The sequence below is a fragment of the Homo sapiens genome, chromosome 19, assembly GCF_000001405.40.
Source record: "Homo sapiens chromosome 19, GRCh38.p14 Primary Assembly".
Lineage (NCBI taxonomy): Eukaryota > Metazoa > Chordata > Mammalia > Primates > Hominidae > Homo > Homo sapiens.
The window spans coordinates 54,306,550-54,316,485 of record NC_000019.10 but is presented as its reverse complement, the minus strand read 5'-3'; the positions used below and the strand labels follow the sequence as shown (position 1 = coordinate 54,316,485).

Sequence of the window (9,936 nt, the reverse complement as noted above, 5' to 3'; positions counted from 1 at the left end):
GTTTCAGATTTTCTACTAAAAGCAACACCCAGCACAGCTGTGCATGACTCCCAGGCCCCTACCCTGTCCTGCAGGATATGTGATGAGCAGAGGAAGGAGAGCAGGCTGGATCAGGAGGATTTGGGGTCCAGCCAGACTCAGACATGGGGAAGACGCTGGGGCTGATGGAGGAGGAAGAGAGGCAAGCAAGTTGGAGAGAGGACAGATGGACGCTCCCTTGGGAGCTCTTATTTCTCATTTCCAAGAGCCCCTGAGGATGAAGCCCCTCACCCACACATGCGGGGTCCCTGGGTCCTCTTATGACAGGACAGGAGGCTGCTCGGGCCTCGGTGGGATCTGACTGGGATGAGGCTGGGGTCCGCCCCAGACCTGCTCCTTTAGAGAGAAGCACCCCACTTGTGGGTGCACCTCACACCGCCCCTCCTGTGCTCACCTGAAGGCCTCTGTGCTCAGGGAACCCCTGAGAGTAAGGAGGGGCCACGCACCTGCTCCCTGGATGAGTTAGGGAGTTATTCACAGCGCGGCTTGTGTGTCATTCATTTCTACCCTGCCTTTTCTGTGCACACTTGTCTATTGTTACTCTCTGTTCTTCTGAAACATTTAAAGCAATACATGAATATATAAACTTATCATTTTAATTTGGGACATGATTTCATTTATATATTTGCTTTAGAAAATAGTTTCTTATTTATGTTAAGTTTTCCTATCCTAAACTTTTAAAATTGAGGTTTATTGATGAACTTAAGAAGTGTCTTGAAATTTTATTTATAAGAATTTTATATATTTATTTCAATTTAAACAATTATTCAATCACTTGAATAATCTGTAAATGAGGTCTTTGATTCCTTATAAATAAAAGCTAGGTATACATGATACAGTAATTGGTTTGAGTTCATTTACTTTATTTTATACCAACTTACTACAGAATTTCTTAATTCCAATTATTTTCAATTGATCCCCTCTAATTTACTAATAAAATGTACATAACTCACACAAAAGTTGAAATTTCACTTTATTTCTAAATTGCATTCCAATTGCTGTCTCCCAGGCTGGAGTGCAGTGGCGTGATCTCGGCTCACTGCAAGCTCCACCTCCCGGGTTCACGCCATTCTCCTGCCTCAGCCTCCCGAGTAGCTGGGACTACAGGTGCCCGCCACCACGCCTGGCTAATTTTTTGTGTTTTCAGTAGAGACAGGGTTTCACCATGTTAGCCAGGATGGTCTCGATCTCCTGACCTTGTGATCCACCCGCCTCAGCCTCCCAAAGTGCTGGAATTACAGGCGTGAGCCACCGCGCCGGGCGGATTATTCTCTAGTTCTTTTAGTTGTGATGTTAGGTTGTTAATTTGAGATCACCCATCACCACACCTGGCTAATTCTTTTGTATTTTTAGCAGAGACGGGGTTTCACCATGTTGGCCAAGCTGGTCTTGAACTCCTGACCTCGTAATCCACCTGCCTCAGCCTCCCAAAGTGCTGGGATTAGAGGCGTGAGCCACTGCAACTGGCCTATATGTCTATTTTTATACCAGTGTCATGCTCTTTTGGTTACTATAGCCTTGTAAACTTTGAGTCAGTTAATGTGATGTCTCTAGCTTTGCTCTTTTTGCTTAGGATTGCTATGGCTGTTTGGGCTCTTTTTTTGGCTCAATATAACTTTTAAGGTTTCTTTTTCTAAGTCTGTGAAAAATGAAGGTATTTTTGTAAGGACTGCATTAAATCTGTAGATTGCTTTGGGCAATGTGGTCATTTTAATCATAGTAATTATTCTGATTTATGAGAATGGGATGTTTTTCCATCTGTTTGTGTCTTCTACAATTTCTTTCATCACTGGTTTGAAGTTTTCCTTGTAGAAATCTTTCACCTCCTTGGTTAAATATATTCCCAGGTGTTTTATTTTTGTGCACCCACTGTCCATGGGATTGCCTCCTTGACTTGGTTCTCAGCTTCGTCATTATTGGAGTACAGAAATGCTACTGATTTCTGTACTTTGATTCTATATCCTGAAACTTTACTGCATTTCTTTATCAAATCTAAGAGTGTTTTGGCTGAGTCTTTAGGGTTTTTGAGGTATAAGATAATATCATCAGCGAACAGAAATAATTTCACTTTTTTTTTTTCCAATTTAGATGTGTTTTATTTCTTTGTCTTGCCTGATTGCTCTGGCAAGGACCTCCAGTACTACGTTGAAGAGTGGTGACAGTGCACATCTTTGTCATGCTCCAGTTCTTAGGGGGAATGCTTTCTATTTTTCCCTGTTTGCGATATTGGCTGGGATTTCGTCACCTATCGCCTTTAGTATTTTGAGGTATGTCCCTCTGTACCTTGTTTGTTGGGAATTTTTATCATGAAGGGATGCAGGATTTTATCAAATGCTTTTTCTGCACCTCTGTGACATAATCATAGAGACTGAAACCAGAATCCTCTCATGTCCCAACCCCTCATGTCTTAATCTAGTCTAGACATTAACCGTGATTGAGCCTCTCCCATGACCCAAGCACGGCTGACCCCCACATCCGCTGTGATGAGTGAGGTTCATGACAACAGGCTCCACACAGGGAAACTGAGGCTCAGAGATGAGACAGTACTGCCCAAGATCACACAAGCCGTAGATAATAATCGGGAATTACATAGAAATCAACTCCCCACCAGCCGGGCGCAGTGGCTCACGCCTGTAATCCCAGCACTTTGGGAGGCCGAGGTAGGCGGATCATGAGGTCAGGAGATCGAGACCATCCTGGCTAACATGGTGAAACCCTGTCTCTAATAAAAATACAAAAAAATTAGCCGGGCGTGGTGGCGGACGCCTGTAGTCCCAGCTACTCGGGAGGCTGAGGCAGGAGAATGGTATGAACCCGGGAGGTGGAGCTTGCAGTGAGCCGAGATAGCGCCATTGCACTCCAGCCTGGGCGACAGAGCGAGACTCGGTCTCAAAAAAAAAAAAAAGGAAAGAAAGAAAGAAAGAAAGAAATCAACTCCCCACTCAGCAAACCAGAGCCCAAACCTAAGTAATGTACCCACAAAAATTAAAAAATAAATAGATACATAAGAATGAAAATTTTAAAACAAAGCCTAAGTAATTACTCCGAAAATGTTGAACATGGATTGAGGTATAGAGGGAAGCCCAAAGAAACAGAAGGCACAGTGGAGGCAGAAAAGATTCAGAGGTTTGTTACTGGAGGTGGGGTGGAGGTGGACGCTGTTGCAAAAAAAAAAAAAAAAAAAAAAAATTAAGGGAAGTACAAGAAAGAGAGTACTATTGGTTAGAAAGAAAACACTCCAGGGCCACTAAAGGGTCATGATTTCCTCCCCTATTTCCCTGCATTTCTCCTCTGTGCTCATTGCCACATGCAGCTCAGCCTGGGCTACACAGCCAGGTGTCAGATGTGTCTCTGCTGATCTGAGTCTGCCTGTGGCATGGACCTGCATCTTCCCTGAAGCATCTCCAGGGCTGAAAAATCACTGACCATGGTAAGGACCCCGCAACGCTGAGCTCATGGACGGGCTGAAGGAGGGAGGGAGACCCCATGGGGAGGCTCTGAGAGGGAGGAGGTCACCCTCGCCTGAAAGGGGCTGACTCAGGAAGGCACCGGGTCTATTTGCTGCTGTGTCCCGGCTCTCAGTGAGATAAAGATAAATCAGGCAGACAGTGGCCCGGGGAAGGGAGACCCCACTTCTGTCTGAAATGTCTGCAGAGAGCCTGGTGCCTGTAGTCTCAACTACTTCACTTCAGCCCTGGGGAAATGAGAGCCAGGCTCCTGGGGAGAGCAGTTCCCCTTTCTGTGGGCTGAGAATGAGAAAATCCTATGACAAGAAGGACCCAGCCTCCGAGCTGCCACACCCTGTGTGTCTCTCTGTCCTGCCAGGCACCATGGTCTCATCCATCTGCACAGCTGCAGCCAGTGGGAGGAGACGCCGTGAGCCCTGCCCTCATGGTTCTGCTCTGCCTCGGTGAGATTGGAAGCCTCAGGGAAGGGGCACCCTAGTCTGGGAGGGACCCCACCCCATAACGAGGCCCTTGTCTATCAGGAAACTCCAGGGTTTTAGGAGGTTCCCAGGCAGGGGAGGACCTGCTCAGGCTTCAGAGGCAAATCTCTCACAGGGAACTCTCTTCCAGGGCTGAGTCTGGGCCCCAGGACCCACGTGCAGGCAGGTGAGTCTGTCCCCAGCTGTCCCAGGTCCCTCCTCCTCAATGGGGACAAAGGGCCACCCATGGGCAGCTGGGGGTGAAGACCGCAGTTCTGGGTGATTGATGGGGACGTCTGGAGGGTCCTGGGGCTGAGAGCTGGGATCTGAGGGGTGGGGAGGTCTTGGAGCCCAGACTCTGATTTCCTTCCAGGGAACCTCTCCAAAGCCACCCTCTGGGCTGAGCCAGGCTCTGTGATCAGCCGGGGGAACTCTGTGACCATCCGGTGTCAGGGGACCCTGGAGGCCCAGGAATACCGTCTGGTTAAAGAGGGAAGCCCAGAACCCTGGGACACACAGAACCCACTGGAGCCCAAGAACAAGGCCAGATTCTCCATCCCATCCATGACAGAGCACCATGCAGGGAGATACCGCTGTTACTACTACAGCCCTGCAGGCTGGTCAGAGCCCAGCGACCCCCTGGAGCTGGTGGTGACAGGTGAGAGGACACTCTGGGGTCCCAGCTCCAGGCTCTGCCCTCAGGAAGGGGGTCGGCTCTCAGGGGTGTCTCCCTTTCACAGCCCAGCCCTGGGGATGATGTGGGAGGTGGGAGCCCCATTTAACACGGTGCCTCCTTCTCTCCTAGGATTCTACAACAAACCCACCCTCTCAGCCCTGCCCAGTCCTGTGGTGACCTCAGGAGAGAACGTGACCCTCCAGTGTGGCTCACGGCTGAGATTCGACAGGTTCATTCTGACTGAGGAAGGAGACCACAAGCTCTCCTGGACCTTGGACTCACAGCTGACCCCCAGTGGGCAGTTCCAGGCCCTGTTCCCTGTGGGCCCTGTGACCCCCAGCCACAGGTGGATGCTCAGATGCTATGGCTCTCGCAGGCATATCCTGCAGGTATGGTCAGAACCCAGTGACCTCCTGGAGATTCCGGTCTCAGGTGAGGAAGCCACAGTCTTCTCTAGTACAATTCAGGGAAGCCAGACAGGTTGTGGAGAGCTTTACAGGCAGGGCAGCCCCTGCTAAGAAAGACAAAAAGGGGAAGGAGAACACAGAAATCCTAGGGACACAAATTCAGGGTGAGGAAAACAAAGCAAGGGCTGGGCACAGTGGCTCACACGTGTAATCTCAGCACTTTGGGAGGCCGAGGCAGGTGGATCACCTGATGTCAGGAGTTCAAGACCAGCCTGGCCAACATGGTGAAACCCCATTTCTACTAAAAATACAAAAATTAGCTGGGCGTGGCGGCACACACCTGTAATCCCAGCTACTTGGGAGGCTGAGGCAGGAGAATCGCTCGAACCCGGGAGGCGGAGGTTGCAGTGAGCCGAGACTGTGTCATTGCACTCCAGCCTGGGTGACAGAGCGAGACTCTGTCTCAAAAAAAAAAAAAAAGAAAAAGAAAAACAGAGCAAGGGAGACTCCAGAAGGAGGTTTATAGGAGGAACCAGCCCCTGCAGTCCCGGCTCCTTTATCCTTCCAGGTGTGTCTAGAAAGCCCTCCCTCCTGACCCCGCAGGGCCCTGTTGTGGTCCCTGGAGAGAACCTGACCCTCCAGTATCACTCTGATGTTGGCTATGACAGGTTTGCTCTCTACAAGGAGGACAGACGTGACCTCCTCCACTGGCCGGCAGCCCCAGGCTGGGCTCTCCCAGGCTGACTTCCCCCTGAGCTTGGAAGTGACCCCCAAAGCCCCCTCATTTCTGACCTTGTGGGGCATCTGAGATGTGGCTCATCCTAGACCTAGAAAAGCAGCTCCCATCACTCACCCTAAGACCTGGTCTGCTCTTGCCAATAGCTATGCCTCGCAAGGGTTAGAAAGCCAAGAGGGGCAGCTGCAGGTACATGTAATCATATCCATCAGTGCTGGGGTCTGAGGTTCGTGAGACGAAGCCACAATATTATGAGAAAGCAAAGATGTGTAAAAACCCCACTGTTTAGAATCTCCTCTCTCTCACATGTCACACGAAGCGTTTCAGATTTTCTACTAAAAACCATGCAGCTTTACAAGACTCCCAGGCCCCTACCCTATCCTGCGGGATGAGTGATGAGTAGAGGAAGGAGAACAGACCTGGTCAGCAGGATTTGGGGTCCAGGCCTGACTTGGAACATGGGGAAGATGCTGGGGCTGATGGAGGAGGAAGAGAGGCAGGCGAGTTGGAGAGAGGACAGACGGACGCTCCCTTGGCAGCTCTCACTTCTCATTTCCAAGAGCCCCTGAGGATGGAGCCCCTCACCCACACCTGCGGGGTCCCTGAGCCCACTCAGGACAGGGGAGGAGGCTGCTCAGGCCTCGGTGGGATCTGACGGTGATGAGGCTGGAGTCCACGCCAGACCTGCTCCTTTAGAGAGAAGCGCCCCAGCTGTGGGTACCACTCACACCGCCCCTCCTGTGCTCACCTGGAGGCCTCTGTGCTCAGGGCACCCCTGAGACAAAGGAGGGGCCGCGCACCTGCTCCCTGGAGGAAGTTAGGAACTTATTCACAGCACGTCTTGTCTGCTGTTCATTGCTGCTCTGCATTTTCTGGGCATACTTGTTTATTTTTTCTCTCTTCTTCTGAATCTTTTAAAACAATATTTGAATATTTAAATTTGTCTCTTTAAGATATATGGATTTATGATTTAAAAACAAGTAATTCCACTCCCATTGTCCTGGGGGCATAATTCAATATTTACATTTGCTGTATAAAATTAGTTGTTAATAGCAAGTATTTCTATTATTAATATATAAAATTGAAGTTTATTAATGAAGTTAATAAGTGTTTTCAAGTTCCGTTCATAAGAATGTGTACATTTAGTCTAATTTAAAAAATTCTTCAACTACTTTATTCTTAAGTGAAGTATTTGATTCATGTATATTTCTTTTGTTTGTTTGTTTGTTTTTGTTTTTGAGATGGAGTCTTGCTCTGTCGCCCAGCCTGGAGTGCAGTGGCGCGATCTCGGCTCACTGCAAGCTCCGCCTCCTGGGTTCACGCCATTGTCCTGCCTCAGCCTCCCGAGTAGCTGGGACTACAGGCACCCACCACCATGCCGGGCTAATTTTTTTGTATTTTTAGTAGAGATGGGGTTTCACTGTGTTAGCCAGGATGGTCTCGATCTCCTGACCTCGTGATCCACCCACCTAGGCCTCCCAAAGTGCTGGGATTACAGGCGTGAGCCACCATGCCCAGCCTGATTCATTTATATTTCTAAGTAAGATATACACATGAGAAAGCTTTTAGTTTGAGTATATTCATTTAATTTCATTTTAGCTTGCTATAACATTTTTCCCTTTCAATTATCTTTCAACTGATCTCCCCAAATTTACTGATAAAATTTATATTAACTATAAGAAAATTGAAATTTTATTTTTTATTTCTAAACCGCATATCAATTTTTGTCACTTCAAGTATTAATATGCATGTAACTGCATCTTAAATAAATATCTAAAGTTTTACATATATACATATTTATGTATGGTTATATAAGTTACATCTGAATATAAGTGTAGGTATATCTGCATATATTTTTTATACGTATATCTACATGCTTAATGTATTTGACATGGAGGGCTTTTACATGTTTGTTATTGGTCTTCTCACCTAGACTCACACTTTATAAAAGCAGAAATTTTTGTTTGTTTGTTTGAGATGGAGTCTCTTGCCCTGTTGCCCAAGCTGGAGTGCAATGGCATGACCTGGGCTCACTGCAACCTCTGCCTCCCAGGTTCAAGTGATTCTCCTGTCTCAGCCTCCCAAGTAGCTGGGATTACAGGCAGGTGCCACCATGCCCGGCTCATTTTTTTATTTTTAGTAGAGACGGGGTTTCACCATGTTGGCCAGGCTGGTCTCGAACTCCTAACCTCGTGATCTGCCCGCCTTGGCCTCCCAAAGTGCTGGGATTACAGGCATGAGCCACCACGCCTGGCCCTAAAAGCAGAAATTGTTTTATGAGCCTCTGTAACACCATATATATATATATATATATATATATATATATATATATATATATATATATATATTTATATATACATATATATACACACACACACACACACACACATTTATATACATACGTATATATATATGACTGACTATATGAATAGTTAGCTGACTAGAGACTTATTGTATGATGAAACACCAGGTGAGGTGGTTGAGGTGGCGTCAAGGGGAGGCAGCTGTTTGTGATTCTGACTTTCAGGAGCCCCTGAGGACCAACCCGTCATCCATGGAGCCTGGGTCCTCAGCTGGTGGATCCGTGAAACTCTCATCTCTGGGGGAATTGGCTTATGTGCTCCTGTGTCCCAGGCTGCACAGAGAGCACAAAGGGCTCAGTGACTTCTGGGGGCCACTTTCCTTGCAGATCCTGAGCTTTCACGGTGCAGGAAAGCTCTTTCCCAAATGACTCAGGAGCAAAGTTTAAATTCAAAGAACAAAGGAAAGCTGAAATAATTCAGTGAGGAGACTGGAGGGAACCCTGCTCCAGCAGAGGGAGGGTTTATGGAGGAACTCCATAAAAGTCATGTTGAGAGGCACAGGGAACTAGGAGAATGCAGAGCTCAGGGGAGAGGCTGGGCTCAGATTGCTTCAAGAACTTCTCCTTCCCCTTCCCCTGTTTTGATTTTCAGGAGCAGCTGATAACCTCAGTCCGTCACAAAACAAGTCTGACTCTGGGACTGGTGAGTGAGGAGATGCTCTCAGTTATGGAACTGGCACAGAGGGTCAGGTCCTGTCAAGATGATATGGGTGCCCTGGGGAGACATCCAGGGGTCCTGGGTGATACTGATCTGCCCTGACCTCTGTGACCTCTTTGTCCACCATCCCCAGCCTCACACCTTCAGGATTACGCAGTAGAGAATCTCATCCGCATGGGCATGGCCGGCTTGATCCTGGTGGTCCTTGGGATTCTGATATTTCAGGATTGGCACAGCCAGAGAAGCCCCCAAGCTGCAGCTGGAAGGTGAACAGAAGAGAGAACAATGCACCATTGAATGCTGGAGCCTTGGAAGCGAATCTGATGGTCCTAGGAGGTTCGGGAAGACCATCTGAGGCCTATGCCATCTGGACTGTCTGCTGGCAATTTCTTTTTTTCTTTCTTTTCTTTTCTTTCTTTTTTTTTTTTTTTTTTTTTTTTGAGATGGAGTCTTGCTCTGTCACCAGGCTGGAATGCAGTGGCGCAATCTGGGCTCACTGCAACCTCCGCCTCTCGGGTTCAAGTGATTCTCCTGCCTCAGCCTCTGGCAATTTCTAGAGGGAGGAATGGGTGTTTGAGTGCAGAGACACTGGTCTGGGGTGATCCATGGAGGACCATTAAAATGTGACACCTTTCCTTTCTATTAATGTTGACTTCCCTTGGTTGGATTCCCTTCTCTTCCCAGCCCGAGACATGAGGCTACATCCCACATGGCAGGCAGCGTTGGGTCCACATCTCTGCACACCTGCATGCTCTGGTCCTTGGCGTGTCACACAGTCCACTTCAATTCTCATTATCACACTCCCTGTGTGCTTTACTGAGCCTCCATCTCTTCAGTTCAGAGTTCCACACCTGAACCAGTAACTAAATCCATGGGAGAAGATCAGATGCCCTCCAGGAAAAGATAAATCCAAAATGGCGTCCTAACCTCTTGTCTGTAGCCTTCAAGCCCCATTCGCTCTTTTTTTTTTTTTGAGACGGAGTCTCGCTTTGTCACCCAGGCTGGAGTGTAGTGGCACTATGTCGGCTCACTGCAACCTCCACCTCCCGAGTTCAAGCAATTCTTCTTCCTCAGCCTCCCAAGTAGCTGGGACTACAGGCGCATGCCACCATGCCAAGCTAATTTTTGTATTT

General features: G+C 48.1%; 1 protein-coding gene across 4 annotated transcripts; it reads left to right on the top strand.

Moving 5' to 3' along the window:
• The first annotated feature begins 3,319 nt into the window (after positions 1 to 3,319).
• LILRA5 (leukocyte immunoglobulin like receptor A5) lies at positions 3,320 to 9,416 on the top strand. 4 transcript variants are annotated; one of them, NM_021250.4, is made up of 7 exons: positions 3,320 to 3,469; positions 3,865 to 3,949; positions 4,116 to 4,151; positions 4,338 to 4,622; positions 4,770 to 5,072; positions 8,738 to 8,788; positions 8,937 to 9,416. In NM_021250.4, the coding sequence occupies exons 1-7, from the start codon at positions 3,467 to 3,469 to the stop codon at positions 9,071 to 9,073; spliced, it is 900 nt and encodes a 299-aa protein (NP_067073.1). In that variant the 5' UTR covers positions 3,320 to 3,466; the 3' UTR covers positions 9,074 to 9,416. The 4 variants fall into 4 exon arrangements, with proteins under 4 accessions (NP_067073.1, NP_871714.1, NP_870994.1 ...); NM_181985.4 differs by lacking the exon at positions 4,116 to 4,151; NM_181879.3 differs by lacking the exons at positions 8,738 to 8,788; positions 8,937 to 9,416 and having other exon boundaries at positions 4,770 to 5,321.
• The last annotated feature ends 520 nt before the right edge of the window (positions 9,417 to 9,936 follow it).